We start from the raw sequence: 19,648 nt of genomic DNA, 5'->3' as shown, positions 1-19,648 counted from the left end.
AGCATTTTAAAGTGCACTTAAGTAGGAAATATTTTAGTCTAAATCTTCTCTGATAAAGCCAGTCTTTTAAACCATACAATTTGTTTCTGAATGTTATTTTCTCATGGTAAATGAGGCAGAATATTATTTATGTCATTTCCCAAAGAATCATCTAAGTCATTTTATTTATGACTATAGGAATGTTTTAAACCCTGAGATATTTTCTTACTTGCCCATTTATGAGTTTGGTTACTTCCTTAAAGAATATTAGCCAAAAGTATAGAAAATGCTTTTGCAAGGTCATATTAATGAGTATTTAAGGGAAGAATAACTACTAAAATAACAGCATTTTAGAGATGGAATAGACCTTAGGGAACTTTTAAAGTAACATTTTTACCTTTTAGAGATGAGAAAATTAAGGGGTGAAAAGGTTAAGTGACTTATGGAAAATATTGGAAAAGGATTTCTTGTAAAAAATGAGAGGGTTGGCTTAGATGAGCTCTGTTAGAGAAGGAGCTTTTTGTTTTGTCTTTTAATTTTTAAGACTTAGTGGCCTCTTCTCAGACTTTATTTTATTCACTTTGCACTCTTTACTAGTTTTTACCAGATCCAGGGGACTAGATCCCATTTTTTTTTTTCTTTACATGTATGCCCACTTCCTTTATTTCCTGGGCCTTCTTTGTGACTGAGATCACCTGTTATCTTCTCAGTTTTGCTCTTTTTATTTCTTCAAAATTGGTAAATAAATCCTTTCCTCATTAAGAGTAATTTTTATAGGAGAACAGTTTGAGAATAGCAGCAATAACAAAGAATATTTGAAGCTCTCAAATATTAAAATTATGTTAACAAAAATGCCAGCATCCTTCTGAACTGGTATTGGAAGTCTTGGTGGATGTATAGCTCAGTTACTCCTAAGTGTGTGATATATTCAATCCTGCTCTTCAATTTGAGTATATTCCCTTTCTCCTTGAAGGCTCCTCTTACCAGCATGCAAAAATGCAAAAATGCTCAGGAAAAAAAGTGTTCTTTAGCTGAAGTGGGTAATTTGTATTTCTTAGAAATGACTTCTAGTAATGTCAAGTCTTTATCTACCTCATATATGATCAATTCTTAAAAGACATATTTTCTTAACCACCAAGATCATTTTTAATGTAGGATTATCTAATTTGCGGACTTCCCTAGTGTTCCAGTTATATTGTAAGGGACTCTGAACTAGAAATCAGGAATTCTGATACCCTTCTCAAGGGTTTATTTTCTATACTCTGCTGCTTCTAAATGAAATAGATCTTGCCATTTTTTGTGATGTGTGAAGACAATCTTCTTTCATTCTGTACGACTTTCTATTTGGGCATACTTGCTCTGTCTTTGCCAGTTGCTATTTTGCTTGCTCTGCTTTTTTATTGTTATTATTTAAATATCTATGCATGCAAAATGAGAAGCTTCAAATGAACCTGATCCCATTGAAACAAAATGTAAAGGATCTTTTTTATATTTCACATGTAAGTGAGATCATACATTATTTGTCTTTCTGTTTCTGGCTTATCTCACTTAGCATAATATCTTCCAGTTCCATCTGTGTTATAATGAATGACAGAATTTCCTTCTTTTAGAAGGCTGTACGGTATTGTATTCTGCATATGTATCCCATTTTCCTTATCCATTTGTTCACTGATGGAGACGTAGGTTGGGTCCATAATTTAGCTATTGTGAATAATGCTGCAAAAAGCATGGGCATGCAGATATTTCTTCAACATAACCATTTCAGTTCCTTTAGATATATACTCAGAAATGGGATTGCTGGATAATATGGTAACTCTATTTTTAGTGTTTTGAGGAACCTCAACATTATTTTTTCATAATGGCTGTACTAATTTATATTCCTACCAATAGTATACAGGGGTTCCCTTTTCCTCACCTTGATATCATTTGTCTTTCATTTGATTACCATTCTAACAGGTGTGAGATGATACCCTATTGTGTTTTAATATGCATTTTCCTGGTGATTAGAGATGTTGAGAATGTTTATATGTATCTATTGGCTGTGATGTGTTTGGCTGTGTCCACAACCAAATCTTATCTTGAATTGTAGCTCCCATAATTCCCATGTGTTGCAGGGGGGACCTGGTAAGAGACAATTGAATCATGGGGGCAGTTTCCCCCATACTGTTCTCATGGTATAAGAATAAGTCTCATGAGATCTGATGGCTTTATAAGGGGAAACCACTTTTGCTTCATTCTCATTCTCTCTTGTCTGCTGCCATGTAAGACATGCCTTTTGCCTTCCAGCATGATTGTGAGGCCTCCCCCAGCCATGTGGAACTATGAGTCCATTAAACCTCTTTTTCTTTATAAATTACCCGGTCTCAGGTATGTCTTTATCAGCAGCAAAAATGGACTAATACAGTAAATTGTTACCAGTAGAGTGGGGCACTGCTATAAAGATACCTGAAAATGTGGAAGCAACTTTGGAACTGGGTAACAGGCAGAGGTTGGAAGAGTTTGAAAGCCTCAGAAGTAGACAGGAAAATTTGGGAAAGTTTGGAACTTCCTAGAGACTTGTTGAATGGCTTTGGCCAAAATTCTGATAATGATATGCACAATGAAATGCAGGCTGAAAAGGTCTCAGATGGAGATGAGGAACTTGTTGGGAACTGGAGTAAAGGTGACTCTTGCTATGTTTTAGCAAGGAGACTGGCAGCATTTTGCCCATGCCTAGAGATTTATGGAACTTTGAACTTGAGGGAGATGATTTACGGTATCTGGCAGAAGAAATTTCTAAGCAGCAAAGCATTCAAGGGGTGACTTTGGTACTTTTAAAAGGATTCAGTTTTAAAAGGGAAACAGAGCATAAAAGCTTAGAAAATTTGCAGCCTGAGGAAGCAATAGAAAAGAAAAACCCATTTTCTGAGGAGAAATTTGAGTTGGCTGTAGAAATTTGCATAAGTAATAAGGAGCCAAATGTTAATCCCCCAGACAATGCAGGATAATGGGGAAAATGTCTTCAGGGCATGTCAGAGGTCTTCAGAGCAGCCCCTCCCATCACAGACCCAGAGGCCAGGAGGAAATAATGGTTTCATGGGCCTGACCCAGGGACCTCCTGCTCTGTGTGCCTAGGGACTTGGTGCCCTGTGTCCCAGCTGCTGTAGCCATGGCTAAAATGGAGCAAGGTACAGCTTGGGCTGTGGCTTCACAGGGTGCATGCTCCAAGCCTTGGCAGCTTCCATGTGATGTTGAGCCTATGGGTTGCACAAAAGGGGCAAGAATTAAGGTTTAGGAACCTCTGCCTAGATTTAAGAGGATGTATAGAAATTCCTGAATGTCCAGGCAAGAGTTTGCTGCAGGGGTGGGGCCCTCATGGAGAACCTCTGCTAGGGCAGTGCAGAAGGGAAATGTGGGGTGTGAGTCCCCGCACACAGTTCCTATTGGGACACTGTCTTGTGGAGCTGTGAAAAGAGATCCATTGTACTCCAGACCTCAGAATGGTAGATCCTCCTACAGCTTGCACTGTGCACCTGGAAAAGCTGGAGACAATGCCAGCAGTGAAAGCACCTGGGAGGGAGGCTGTACCCTGCAAAGCCACAGGGTTGGAGTTGCCCAAGACCATGGGGACCCACCTCTTGCATCAGTGTGACCTGGATGTGAAACATGGAGTCAAAGGAGATCATTTTGGAGCTTTAATATTTAACTGCCCTGCTGAATTTCAGACTTGCATGGGGCCTGCAGCCTCTTTGTTTTGGCCAATTTTTCCCATTTGGAATGGCTGTATTTACCCAATGCCTGTACCTCTATTTTATCTAGGAAGTAACTAACTTGCTTTTAATTTTACAGGCTCGTAGGTGGAAGGGATCGCCTTGTCTCAGATGAGACTTTGGACTGTGGACTTTTGAGTTAATGCTGAAATGAGTTAAGACTTTTGGGGACCGTTGGGAAGGCATGATTGGTTTTGAGATGTGAAGACATGAGATTGGGAGGGGCCAGGGGTGGAATGATATAGTTTGGCTGTGTCCCCACACAAATCCCATCTTGAATTGTAGCTCCCGTAATTCCCCCATGTTGTGGGAGGGACCCAGTGGAAGACAGTTGAATCATGGGGGCAGTTTCCCCACACTGTTCTCATGGTAGTGAATAAGTCTCTTGAGATCTGATGGTTTTATAATGGGAAGCCCCTTTCACTTCATCCTCATTTTCTCTTGTCTGCCACCATGTAAGACATGCCTTTGCCTTTCACCATAATGATAAGGCATCCCCAGCCACGTGGAACTGTGAGTCCGTTAAACTTCTTTTTCTTTATAAATTACCCAGTCTCAGGTATGTCTTTATCAGCAGTGTGAAAGTGAACTAATACATTATTTATGTGTCTTCTTTTGAGAAATGTGTGTTCATGTCCTTTGCCCATATTTTACCAGGTGATTTGTTTTCTTGCTATTGAGTTGTTTGAGTTCCTTGTAATGAATTTCATAGAAATGAGTAAAGAGGTGGTTACCAGAAGCTAGGGGAAAAGGGAGAGGGTTGAGAAAAGGGAAGATGTTGATTAAAGGGTACAAAGTTTCAGTTAGACTGGAGGAACTGCATGGTGACCATAATTGTAAATGTATATTTCAAAATTGCTAAAATAATAGATTTTAAATGTTATTACCACAAAAACATGATAAATTGTTAAGGTGATGGATTTGTTAATTAGTTTTATCAATGTTTCTACAATGTATACATAGATCAAAACATCACATTGTACCCCATAAATATACATAATTATTATTTGTCAACTAAAATAAATAAAAATAAATTGAAAATGGACAATATCTTTTATGGAAGATCTTACCTATATTTTAAAATTCTGCTATGACATGGTCCAAATTTTTTCTATTCTCTCTTGCTTATTTCCAGGCTAAGAAAACATAGAGTCTCTTTGCAGAAAATAAATATATTCAAAATTCTCATCGATATAAAATGCAACCTTTAATGAAATACTGTTTATGTAGAAATACCAAGAAAAAATGATATTTATGCATTCTATTGTTTCATCTTCTTTTAAATAATTAAAAAAACTTTTTAAAAAATGTTTTAAAACTTACATAGAGTAGAATATCCTTAGCTTTTTATGTATGTGATGATTAGTATGGAAAAGATATTCAAAGAAAATAAAGCAGTTCCCTAAACTCTAGAAAACAAAGGAAGCAGCATGTAATTTAATGATAAATATCTCTGAGGACTTTATAATTACCTTCTAATATGGCATTTATATTTAGAAAATTAATTGACTCCTTTTTATGGTCCCACATCCAATTCTATAAATATGCTTTTAAGACATCATTGCTTAATTATAAAAGAAGCATTAACAAAGTAGACTTTTAAAATCTGAATTTGCACATTTGAGCATTTCCACTAGGGTTTAAGACCTTTTCTAGACCTTTGATTTGCTATATAAAAAATCGTATATTAAACATTTGCCAACAATTTTCTAATGTGCATTGTAAATACACGATTACATCTGTTTCTTCATATGAGTCTCATAGTGCATACTTAAGGGGATTTTCTTCTACTGATATTCAATTGATTTAATTAGGCAAGTTCCACTAATGTCCTAATTGGAAGACAGACTTTTTAGCATTCGCTTGAGATTAGATTGCATTCATGGGATCATAATTATTCTGATGTCTTGCCACAGTTCATACAGTAGACGAACTGTGTACTGGCTGAATTTTTAATGAAGTCAACTTTTTACTTTCATTTTCCTGAAATTTTTCCCTTTATTTTGCATATAAGGTTGTTTCTCAAAGTGCCTGTTGTTGGTTTTATATTTTTTTCAGTGGTAACTCTCTTTCTAATATGTCCCATCACAAACACTTTAATAACATTTTGTTGTATATTTATGATTGTGAAATGAAAGAAAGACAAATCAATCTTGATCTGAAGATAATGTTGGAAAATAGCAATAAGAAAAATTATATATTAGAGCCCAACTGTGGCATAAAACATTTTGTTTTATAAGTTCTTAATATTTGCATACTAATTATAATTTTTGTCCAATTGTGTCTTATACTAGCTCATCTAAATTTATAATTCTAAAAAACACTGTTATGACCTTGCTATGTTCTAATCACTGTGTTAGCACTGGGGATATAAGGATAACTATAATTTTTCCTCTGGAAGAATTTCATCCAAAAGTGGAATTAATGTCTTAAAAAATTCTGTGGAAAATAACTTGTTTTTTAAAATTATTATTTGAAATAATTTCCTTTTTCATTTATATGTATATTCTACCTATAATTTAATGTCATGATGAATTCCCAGTGTGTTTTTTTTCCTTACGAGTCATTAGGCTCTGATCTTTTTTTTTCTTAGCCCAGCATTTCAGAGGTCTTTGGCCTTTAAAAAATATATAAAATGATGTATGTAGTTGCAATATACGTAAGTATATAAAGAGACAATTATGTATAGCCGCTATGGAAAAACAGGCAGTTTTATTCAAAAGTCCAATAGTTAAAATTTCGCCTACCAAAGACCCAGATATTCTACTCCTAAATGTTTATTCAAGGGAAATGAAAGCAAATATCCACAAAACATCTAGGTGAACGTTTATGGCAGTCTTATTAACCAAAGCCATTATTATTAACCAAAAACTGGAAACAATCTAAATGTTCATTAACTAGTGAATGATCAACAGACTAGCATATCCATATGATGGAATACTAATCAGCAAATAAAATAAATGAAATATAATGTCTTATTTTAGGCTGCTATAACAAATTACCTTCAATTGGGTGGCTTAAATGACAGGCATTTATTTCTCACATTGCTGGAGGCTGGGAAGTTCAAGGTCAAGGAGTTTTCTTGCTGTATCCTCATATGGCGGAGAGAGTCATAACTTTTCTCATGTCTCTTTTTTTTAAATGATCACTAGTCACAACATATGGGCTCCACCCTCATGACATAATTACCTTTTAAAGGCCCCATTTCGAAATACTGTGACATTTGGGATTAGGGCTTTAATGTACAAATTTTGGGGGGGCACATTGAGTCCATAGGATATACATATATACAAGAACATCAAGAACATGAGTGAATTTCAGCATCATAATGCTGAGTGAAGGAAACCAGAAACAAAATACTATGAAATATTTGAATCTGTTTTTATAAAACTCTAGAAAATGCAAACTTATATATAGCCCTAGAAAGCAGATCACTGTTTCCACGTGGATGTCTATGGAAGGTGGGATGGATTACAAAGGAACATAAGGAAACTTTTATTAAAAGGGGTGAAAATTTTTATTGTTTGATTGTTGTGATTGTTTCATGCATGTGACATATGTCAAAACTTAATTGTATACTGTAAATATGTGAAGTTTACTGTATGTCAATTATACATGAGCAAAGTTGCAAAAAAAATTACTTGGGAGATAAGAGAAATTGATGTATGTTATAAAAACACAGAGAAAACCACAGCAATGACAAGCAAAAATAAGTTATTGAAATGATAATGAACATGAATAGTCAACCCCAGGAAATAATGGATTCCCTAAGTTTCCAGTGGAGTTTTAAATAACTAATTTTCATTTCAGTTGGTCAAAGCTTTAAAATTAACCCTTTATTTTGATTGATAAAATTTACTTTTGATATCTGCCTTTACTATTTTGTTTCTGATGGAAAATTCTTCACTGCAAAAGAGGCTATATTAATGTTTTAAGCTTCTCTTTCATTATGTCCATTCTACTTATCCATTGTTTTATTTTAATTACATAATTAGAGAAAAAATATAAAGAAAATACTTTGACTTTTTTTCAAAAATACAATTTTCTTGGCCAGCTTCAGTAATAGAAACTTTCAAAAAATAAAAAATAAAAAGGTGCTGTGAACTTATTAAAGCCCAAGGCTATTTATTGACTGAATAGCTCCATGTATTTAATATAATTAATGTGTTAAGTTACTAATTAGAATTTTAATTTTGCAAGAGATGAAAATATCTTCAATTCAAACATGGTAAGGGCACTGGAGTAGAATGATTTTGTTTTTGTTTCTGTTTCTGTCTCTGGGAAAATCAATTGGATCTAAGGATATGAGGATCTTAGTACTAGGATACTTTTGAGTAGTTTGAAATGAAAGAAAAGGCATGACACATTGACATGTTGTTTCTTCTATATGATATGATATTTTTTAGGATTGTACAACATTACATATTAAAAGAGAAGATACATATGAGAGAAAGCTTTCATGTTCAATAGTGCTTTTTGTTATTGTAGTGTAATTTTTCTACAGTTAAAATGTTATTAGTAATAATCTAAAACTTTTGAACACTGTGTTTTCAGACTAAAATAAAAAAGAACTATAAACAAATGTTGCACTGTATTTAGGAGGTCTGGTTTTCACAGTGGTTTAGGTTAACAATTTTAAGCTACTTTCTCTGTGATCTAGGAATAAATGAAAGAGTAAATATTTTGAAAATAATGGAAACTGTTTCTTATTATTAGAGAAAGGAGTTATAAATGTGGAAAGGAGAAAGAAGGGAAGGAAAGGAGGAAGGAAAAAAGGAAAGAAGGAAGGAAGGGAGGGAGAGAGAAAGAAAGAAAACTAGAATTAAATTGAAATTGGAGATATAATTTGGTTGTATGTGTGGGTACGTGAGGATATAGATATAGGTAATAGGTGTGTACATACGTATATGTGTATTATTTTTTCCTAGCTCTGTGTGCTGAAAGGGTCCCAGTAGCAATGAACATACCTAGTTCTTAGACTTGGAGTTCTGAAATCTATTCATAACTTAAAAGTTTCCAGAGATCCTTAGAGAAATTACTGCTTTCATCGCAGGGACAGGAATATCTGGCTATGTTAAAAATTAGCACACATGAGAAAATAATTAGAATATGACAAAAGGACACAAGAATTAGCTTGAAGGTGCCCCCAACTGACTATATCTGGGGTAATTTGAGCATCAAAATTAAGTAATAATTGTAATAAGTTATAATATAGAAAAAAACAGGAATCTGTGAGTCAAAATGTGTAGATTCATAAAAATGATTGTTTTTATTAAATTTATTAATTAACCTATGATCTGTCATGTTTATGATGCCCATTCATTTTATACAGATTAAAGATATCTTTCCATATTTTGAAATCTAATTTTGCATATTTCAGAAATATTTTAATTTTTGTGTGTGTTTTCCAGATTTTTTTGAATACTTATTCTTACGTGTTTTTTCATCTTCTTTGTTGTTATTATACATAGGGGTTTTCTACTTAGAGTGTCTTCTAATTAATAATTGTTTGTGTATGTGAAGGATATTTGTTTCTGTGTGTTAATTTTGTATCCTTCTACCTTACTAAATTATTTTATTATCACTGAGTCTTTAGGATTTTCCAGATGTGCTATTATATAATTTGCAAATAGATACAGTGTTACTTCTTTAAAAATGTTTAAGCCTTTAGTGATGTCTTTTGTTTTCCTGCACAGGCTAATACTTTCAGTACAATATTAAATATTATTGGAGGTAACACTTACCTTTTTTCTTCCTGATGTTAGTGAAATACCCCTAGCACTTCCTGATTGAGTGAAATCAGTAACTTTGTAACTAAGCATATATATTTTTATCAATAAAGTATTTTATTATTCTCATTTTATTGAATGCTTTTGTTAAAATTGTGAGTAGGTATTAACCTTTGTTAAAGGTCTTTCTAACATTTATGAGATGATCATATGACTGTTCTTTTTAGAGATATTAACATGGTGTATTATGATCAATTTCATAATCTTAAATAAGCATTACATTCTTAGAATAAGCCCCATTTGTTCATGGTTTATTATTTTCTTAATGTTGTATTGAATTCTGTTCACAATTATTTTATTTAGTATTTTTGCATCATTTTCATAAGTGTGATTGGTCTATAATTTTCTTTTTCATATCACATTTATAAGATTTAAGAATCAATATTATATTTCCTTTATGAAAATAATTTGGAAGTTTGTTCTTCATTTTCTATGCCTTAGAACAATTTATGTAGCTTTGAGACTAGGTTTAACAGTAATAACAACTTCGTAGTTAGAATTCCCCAGTGAAATCTGGGTCTGATGCTTTCTTTGTAACTGTTTTTTCTTTTTCTACAAAATTTGACATTTTTTAGCTTTGTGTTTCTAACAAAACTGATGTTAGTAAACTGTATTTTCTAAAGAAATTATTCATGTTATCTAAGTTTTCAAATTTATTTAAATCAAGGTCTGAAAAGTAGACTAGTATGACTTTTTTCATTTCTTCTGATTCAATAATTATTTCCCTGTTTTCAACTGTCAATCCTTACTTTTAAAAAATTATGATTCCCCCCCTTTTTAAAAAAAAATTAGATTAGCTACTGGTGTGATTATTTTGTTAATTCTTTCAAAGAACCAGGATTTTGATCTTTTAAAATTAGATTTATTATTTAAAAAATTCTCTACCTTCAAAATTCCTGCCCTTTTTCTTTATTTCCTTTCTTTGCTTTCTTTTGCTTTATGTGATTGTTATTTTCCTACATCTTTTATATGAGAATTTAATTTATTTTTATTATTTCCTTTAATTGAGTTTTTAAGACTTTAATCACCACTTTTTATATTCCATACATTATAAGGTAGTGTTTTCATTATCATTATTGTTTTCAGAAATTCTATAATTTGAATTTGTATTTTCATTTTCACTCGAGCTATTTAGTATTACGTTCTTTAAATTTTGGATGGAAAGGTCTTTATGGCTATTTTTTTCTATTTTAAAATTTCTTGTTTTATTTCATTATGATCAGGAAGTGTCATTAATATTTCTATTTTATGTACCTTACTGTAGGCACATTCTTTGTGACATAAAATGTATGATTTTTTGGGGGTGAATTTTTTATATGTGTTTGAGAAGTTGTATTTTAGAGTATCAGGCTGTAAAGTTCAACATATATCCTTAAGATTTACGTTATTGGTGTATTGTTTATTTCTACATCTCTGTTTATTTTGGGACCATTGGAACTGTCTTGAACTGAATATTTGAGTTTAATGACTCCTACTAGTATGCTTCTACCTATTATTCTCAAGTCTCCTGCAATTTTTGTTTTATAATTGTCAATGATACATTATTTAATACATGAAGTCATAGTTTTATATCTTCATAGTAGATTGCCTTTTAGCCCAGAAAATGTTCTTCATTACAATTAATACTTTTTGGATTGAATTGTAATTTTTATAATATTATGATCACAGACTTTTTATTATAATGTTGATTACATTTGCCTGGTATACATGCTTCATCTTTGCTTACCCTTTTATTTTTCCCAGACTTTTGAAATCCCTTTGTTTCATATATGTAGTTTTGTTCATATAATTGTATGTATTTTATTATTTTGTTACCTATATGAAAATTATTTTATTTTAACAAGTGAGTTAAGTTTATTCACATTTATTTCTGTGAGTAATATATGTAGTTTCTATTCTGTCATAATATTTTGTTATATCACATTTTCGTGAAAATGTGTAGGCAGGAGCTTTCTTTTTCCTGTCCATACCTTTTGGCTTAGATATTCCTTTAGCTATGAATGTATTATCAAGAACATACATATTGTGTTTTCTGGGAGAAATAATTTTAATCCCTTAGGATATGACATGATTTTAAGAGAGGACAGGGCAGAAGTTATCATATTTGAATAGGACACATCAGATTATTTTGATGATGTTAAATATAAATTAGCACATAAGGAGAAATAATTGTGTGCTGGTTGAAAGAAATACCTGAGCAGAATTTTAAATGAAGGAAGATGTAATTTACAGAGCACTGAATTGCAAGTGGAAGACCCGGGTTCTTGTCCTGACTCTGCCAAACAGTGATGTAAGCAAGTCATATTATTGGTGAGAAGATGACCTACAACTTGTAGACAAATATTTGAGGCTCAAACCATGACTAGATATGAAAAGAAATTAAAAATTATATTATCTGAAATACTCTCAGGAAATTACTGAATACTACTTCATTAGCTTCTTTTTGGAGGGCAGGGCAATACTTCTAAAGGTTATGTTTGACTAGTAGTAGATAATGACAGAACTGCTTTCTAAAGTGGCAGGGTCTGGTTGACTATAGTAGCTTGGCTGCTGAGTAGACTTATATAAGTTTAAGGTTACAGATGCATCATTCTAGATGAAAAACAAAGGCTGAACCCTGCTAATCAAGGGTTGTCTTTTCCATTTATCTCCTATAACTGCATTCAACTCCTAATCTAAATAAATATTTTTTAAAAATCTAAATGTATCAAAATACCTAAATGCTGAAAATGTCAAAAGCTTATCTGTTTAAAAATGCACCAAAATATTTACCTTCTTGTATTGCTAAATAGTTAGTCTACCTGGGCTCTGTAGAACTCTGTAACTTACCTAGGCTCTGACCTAGGTAAGTTAACAGAGCCTTTAACTTTTAGTTTTTTCATTAATAAATAAAGATGACATTTTAGAGGGCATTTTAGAGCTAATTTTAGTTTTAAAATTATAAACTAATTGAATATAGATTATTCTATTCTAATTTACTACTTATTAAATTCTTGAAAATAATATTAAGGTGTTTTGTGTATCAACTGAGAGTATTGAGGACTTAGTAACACTTTTGACGTTAAACTCATCAACAAACAATTTAGCAAAATAACTTATGAGCTCTTCAAACTTTCTTTGTTTCTGGTCCTAACATCTGTTGACCATAGCCATATTTTTCAGAAAAGTCACATGCTCAAGATACAAAACTAATTAACATTGAAAACTATATCAAAAGACTTCTGGTTCTGGCATAATGTGAGATAAGATAACTCGAAATTTCTCTTACTGCAAAAGCTTTGAAATGCTTGATAAATTATAACAAAAAATGTAAGGATGACCTTTTAAAAGAAATTGAGAATATTTATCAGGCAACAAAAAAGGCAATTAAAAATTGGTTTGGTAAACACATGGTTTGACACTGTGTTTATCTTTGTGTTTGGAGGGAGTAGGAGATTTACAGATCTCAGATATACATTCTAACAGCTGTGCAGGAAAAAAAGATGTAGACTTGGAGCTGTCTGAGATGGGGAGTTGTAAATGAGACGGCACAAACCCAGAAAATGTAAAGGAGTACACTCTATGTGAGAAAGCAGACCGGCAAAATTTACTAGCCAAAACAGAAATTTGACAGGAGAGCCTTTGGTTGGAATCTGAGCTCCAAGAATTAAAAAATAACTTCCCTGAGAATTATAACCGTGGGCCTATGCCTCACACAGGCTTATGATCTTAACTTATGCTACCTCTAATGTCTGGGAATCCGTATGCTAAGAAATTAATATAAAAATTGTCCCTGAAAGGAAGTTCCTGTGATAAAAATACGCAAGTCTCCTGAAAAGACATGATCTCAGGCCTGGATGCCTAAGATTTCCACAGATGAACCTCCGCCAAAGATGAACTCACCATCAAAATTATAATATCAATGAGGAAATAATCCACCATGAATTTGATTCAGATGGTACAGTAAATAGCAGAGATAGATAGAAGAATCAGATAAAAACTATGCAAATATTTTTAAATGGCTAAAGGCATAAATAAAAGAACTGAAATATGAGGCAAGCAAGACACTATGAAAAACGAACAGGGAAATTGAAGACAAATCAAGTAGACCTTAAGAATTAAAATATATGGAAGTTATAGTAATAATGTTTTTAAAAAAGTTCAATGAATATGTGTGGCAGATACTTCAAGTTGCTTTTACAATACCCATTTTCTCTTTCTTTTAAAAAATAAAACCCCTAATTTTGTTTGGGTTGGCAATATAATTATTAAACAAACAGACACTGCATTGCTTGGCATCCTTCCAGCAGTGTATCCATGTGATAATGTTTTGGTCAAATTGCTATCCATGATTCCTTCCTCTTTGTTACTTTATTCTTATTTCCTGAAAGGCAACAGAAGGAATAAAATGAAGTATCCATTTTGCTATCATAAGGCAATCATGAGAATCAACCACATGTTAAGGTTGGCAGAGTAGAAAACAGAAGAGCTTGGGAACTGATATTACTATGGGACTGCTGCATCAGTCCTGGACTGCCAACTTTCCGTTGTCATGTTGTGTGATAAAAATAAATTCCTGTTTGGTCAATACTGTAATAAGGCTTCTGTTATGTGTAGCTTTATAACATCTAAAATGGGTAAAACAAAAAGGCAAGGAGAAAGTTAATATACTGGAAGATAGATTTGAAGTAAGTTCCTAAAATATACTAGAGATAATCAGTTGGAAAATGTAATGGAGACATTAGGAGAAAAAAATGAGAATTTACAGAATGCATCTGATAAGAATCTCACAAGGAGTTAATTGAAAATTTGGCAGAGATTATATCTGAAGAGGTCATGGCTGACATTTTTCCAATATAAATGAAAATGTGACTTCTCAGATTCAGTGGTGCTGAATCTAGTTCCAACAAAGATAAGTAAAAAATACACATCTAGATGCAGCATAATGAGACAGCAAAATACCAAAGGAAAAGGAGATTATCTATAAAAAAGCAGCCAAAGATAAAAGATTATCAACAGTTGAGGAGAAAATAATATAATCTAAAAGGCTTAAACAGAAAGTTTATTACAGCATATTACAGGCTTGTGTCAGTACTAAATGGATCAATAAACAGATTCTAGGCTGCACTTTCAGGAATGCACCCAAAGCTACTCCTCAGATCTGGGCTAGCATGGGAACTGCTTGCTGCTCCTGCACAATTAATTATTTACTTGTTTAACTGAGAGGTTGCCAGTATAGCTGCTGGCCCCCAGACCTAGCTACTGCTGCTTGATCAGGAAGCCAAATGCCCAAGTTTTTTTTACCTTGCTGCAACTGTCAGTTTGGGCCACACTGCCTTTAATCTATTCTCCCCAGCAAAGAAATTCTGATACCCTGCCTCCTCTTTCACATAACTCAGTTCCAAATTCAAGCTTACACAAATGCATTTGAATACCAAAAAATCTTATTGAGATCACTAGCTGTGAAAGTTTCCAGGAAATACAGTTTTCAGCTTTATAGTCTCCAAAATACAGCAGGACAGAGCAGAAGAAAGTTGAAAAAAAAGTTTATGATCCCATCTATATTCTGTATCACACATACCAAAAAGGGATAATTAGCTCAACATCACAATTTGCAGTACCAAAAACAAGCCAGAAGACAATGAGATAATACCCTCAGAGTGCCAAGAAAACAGATTTTTTTCAAAAAGAATTTACCCTAATAGACCCTTTCTGAAAGAACTACTAAATAATATACTTCATTAAGAAGGATATCAAACCTAGAGAGGAAGAGAAATATGTAAGGATAAATGATTTTCTTTTAAAACATTTTTTAGTTTTTGTGGGTACGTAGTATGTGTGTGTATTTATGGGGTATATGAGATACTTTGATACAGGCATACAGTGCATAATAATCAAATCCTAGTAAGTGAGGTATTTATCACATCAAGCATTTATCCTTTTTTGTTATGGACAATTCAATTATACTCTTTTAGTTATATTAAAATGTACAATACATTATTGTTGACTGTAGTTACCCTGTTGTACTATCAAATACTATTATAGATCTTATTCATTCTATCTAACCATATTTTTACCACTAACCATTCCCCCTTCCCTCCACTCAGAACTACCCTTCTTGGCCTCTGGTAACCATTGTTTTACTTGAAATCTCCATGAGTTCAACTGTTTTAATTTTTAGCTCCCACAAATAAGGGAGAACATGCAATATTTGTCTTTCTGTGCCTGGCTTCTATCATTTAACAATGACCTCCAGTTCCATCCATGTTGTTTCAAATGACAGAATCACACTTTTTTATGGCTACCTAGTATTCCATTCTATATATGTACCACATTTTCTTTTTTAAATATATATATATTTTTATTATACTTTAAGGTCTAGGGTACATGTGCACAATGTGCAGGTTTGTTACATATGTATACATCTGCCATGTTGGTGTGCTGCACCATTAACTCCTCATTTACATTAGGTATATCTCTTAATACTATCCCTTCCCCCTCACCCTACCCCACAACAGGCCCCGATGTGTCATGTTCCCCTTCCTGAGTCCAAGTGTTCTCATTGTTCAATTCCCACCTATGAGTGAGAATATGTGGTGTTTGGTTTTTTGTCCTGGGTATACACCCAGTAATGGGATGGCTGGGTCAAATGGTATTTCTAGTTCTAGATACCTAAGGAATTGCCACACTGTCTTCCACAATGGTTCAACTAGTTTACAGTCCCACCAACAGTGTAAAAGTGTTCCTATTTTTCCACATCCTCTCCAGCACCTGTTGTTTCCTGACTTTTTAATGCTCACCATTCTAACTGGTGTGAGATGATATTGTGGTATTGATTTGCATTTCTCTGATGGCCAGTGATGATGAGCATTTTTTCATGTGTCTTTTGGCTGCATAAATGTCTTCTTTTGAGAAGTGTCTTTTCATATCCTTTGTCCACTTTTTGATGGGGTTGTTTGTTTTTTTCTTGTAAATTTGTTTGAGTTCTTTGTAGATTCTGGATATTAGCCCTTTGTCAGATGAGTAGATTGCAAAAATTTTCTCCCATTCTGTAGGTTGCCTGTTCACTCTGATGATAGTTTCTTTTGCTGTGCAGAAGCTCTTTAGTTTAATGAGATCCCATTTGTCAATTTTGGCTTTTGTTGCCATTGCTTTTGGTGTTTTAGACATGAAGTCCTTGCCCATGTCTATGTCCTGAATGGTATTGCCTAGGTTTTCTTCTAGGGTTTTTATGGTTTTAGGTATAATATTTAAGTCTTTAATCCATCTTGAATGAATTTTTGTATAAGGTGTAAGGAAGGGATCCAGTTTCAGCTTTCTACATATGGCTAGCCAGTTTTCCCAGCACCATTTGTTGAATAGGGAATCCTTTCCCTATTTCTTGTTTGTGTCAGGTTTGTCAAAGATCAGATAGTTGTAGATGTGTGGTATTACTTCTGAGGGCTCTGTTCTGTTCCATTGGTCTATATCTATGTTTTGGTACCAGTAGCATGCTGTTTTGGTTACTGCAGCCTTGTAGTATAGTTTGAAGTCAGGTAGTGTGATGCCTCCAGCTTTGTTCTTTTGGCTTAGGATTGACTTGGCAATGCGGGCTCTTTTTTGATTCCATATAAACTTTAAAGTTGTTTTTTTCCAATTCTGTGAAGAAAGTCATTGGTAGCTTGATGGGGATGGCATTGAATGTATAAATTACCTTGGGCAGTATGGCCATTTTCACGATATTGATTCTTCCTATCCATGAGCATGTAATGTTCTCCCATTTGTTTGTGTCCTCTTTTATTTCACTGAGCAGTGGTTTGTAGTTCTCCTTGAAGAGATCCTTCACGTCCCTTGTAAGTTGGATTCCTAGGTATTTTATTCTCTTTGAAGTAATTGTGAATGGGAGTTCACTCATGATTTGGCTGTCTGTTATTGGTGTCTAAGAATGCTTGTGATTTTTGCACATTGATTTTGTATCCTGAGACTTTGCTGAAGTTGCTTATCAGCTTAAGTAGATTTTGGGCTGAGTCAATGGGGTTTTCTAGATATACAATAATGTCATCTGCAAACAGGGACAATTTGACTTCCTCTTTTCCTAATTGAATACCCTTTATTTCTTTCTCCTGCCTGATTGCCCTGGCCAGAACTTCCAACACTATGTTGAATAGGAGTGGTGAGAGAGGGCATCCCTGTCTTGTGCCAGTTTTCAAAGGGAATGCTTCCAGTTTTTGTCCATGGAGTATAATATGGGCTGTGGGTTTGTCATAAATAGCTCTTATTATTTTTAGATACATCCCATCAATACCTAATTTATTGAGAGTTTTTAGCATGAAGGGCTGAATTTTGTCAAAGGCCTTTTCTGCATCTATTGAGATAATCATGTGTTTTTTGTCTTTGGTTCTGTTTATATATGCTGGATCACGTTTATTGATTTGTGTATGTTGAACCAGCCTTGCATCCCAGGGATGAAGCCCACTTAACCATGGTGGATAAGCTTTTTGATGTGCTGCTGGATTTGGTTTACCAGTATTTTATTGAGGATTTTTGTGTCAATGTTTATCAGGGATATTGGTCTAAAATTCTCTTTTTTTGTTGTGTCTCTGCCAGGCTTTGGTGTCGGGATGATGCTGGCCTCATAAAATGAGTTAGGGAGGATTCCCTCTTATTCTATTGACTGGAATAATTTCAGAAGGAATGGTACCAGCTCCTCCTTGTACCTCTGGTAGAATTCGGCTATGAATCCATCTGGTCCTGGACTTTTTTTTGGTTGGTAAGCTATTAATTATTGCATCAATTTCAGAGCCTGTTATTGGTCTATTCAGAGATTCAACTTCTTCCTGGCTTAGTCTTGGGAGGGTGTATGTGTCAAGGAATTTATCCATTTCTTCTAGATTTTCTAGCTTATTTGCGTAGAGGTGTTTATAGTATTCTCTGATGGTAGTTTGTATTTCTGTGGGATCGGTGGTGATATCCCCTTCATCATGTTTTATTACATGTGTTTGATTCTTCTCTCTTTTCTTCTTTATTAGTCTTGCTAGCGGTCTATCAATTTCATTGATCTTTTCAAAAAACTGGCTCCTGGATTCATTGATTTTTTTAAGGGTTTTTTGTGTCTCTATCTCCTTCAGTTCTGCTCTGATCTTAGTTATTTCTTGCCTTCTGCTAGCTTTTGAATGTGTTTCCTCTTGCTTCTCTAGTTCTTTTAATTGTGATGTTAGGGTGTCAATTTTAGATCTTTCCTGCTTTCTGTTGTGGGCATTTAGTGCTATAAATTTCCCTCTACACACTGCTTTGAATGTGTCCCAGAGATTCTGGTATGTTGTGTCTTTGTTCTTGTTAGTTTCAAAGAACGTCTTTATTTCTGCCTCCATTTCGTTACGTATGCGGTAGTCATTCAGGAGCAGGTTGTTCAGTTTCCATGTAGTTGAGTGGTTTTGAGTGAGTTTCTTAATCCTGAGTTCTAATTTGATTGCACTGTGGTCGGAGAGACAGTTTGTTATAATTTCTGTACTTTTACATTTGCTGAGGAGTGCTTTACTTCCAACTCCGTGGTGAATTTTGGAATAGGTGTGGTGTGGTGCTGAGAAGAATGTATATTCTTTTGATTTGGGGTGGACCGTTCTGCAGATGTCTATTAGGTCTGCTTGGTGCAGAGCTGAATTCAATTCCTGGATATCCTTATTAACTCTCTGTCTCATCGATCTGTCTAATGTTGACCATGGGGTGTTAAAGTCTCCTATTATTAATGTGTGGGAGTCTAAGTCTCTTTGCAGGTCTCTAAGGACTTGCTTTATGAATCTGGGTGCTCTTGTATTGGGTGCATATATATTTAAGATAGTTAGTTCTTCTTGTTGAATTGATCCGTTTACCATTATGTAATGGCCTTCTTTGTCTCTTTTGATCTTTGTTGGTTTAAAGTCTGTTTTATCATAGACTAGGATTGCAACCTCTGCCTTTTTTTGTTTTTCATTTGCTTGGTAGATCTTCCTCCATCCCTTTATTTTGAGCCTATGTGTGTCTCTGCACACACACATAGGCTCAAAATAAAGGTGAGATGGGTTTCCTGAATACAGCACACTGATGGGTCTTGACTCTTTATCCAATTTGCCAGTCTGTGTCTTTTAATTGGGTAATTTAGCCCATTTACATTTAAGGTTAATATTGTTATGTGTG

At 33.9% G+C, this 19,648-nt stretch overlaps 1 protein-coding gene across 7 annotated transcripts in view; it reads left to right on the top strand.

The window, feature by feature from the left end:
* The window catches only part of STPG2 (sperm tail PG-rich repeat containing 2), a 702,228-nt gene that overhangs the window by 261,768 nt on the left and 420,812 nt on the right, over window positions 1–19,648 (top strand). The gene's annotated exons all lie outside the window — the stretch shown is intronic.

Source organism: Homo sapiens, chromosome 4, assembly GCF_000001405.40.
Source record: "Homo sapiens chromosome 4, GRCh38.p14 Primary Assembly".
Classification (NCBI taxonomy): Eukaryota; Metazoa; Chordata; class Mammalia; order Primates; family Hominidae; genus Homo; species Homo sapiens.
Note: the sequence above shows the minus strand (reverse complement) of the source record. Positions and strands in the feature narration are given on the sequence as shown.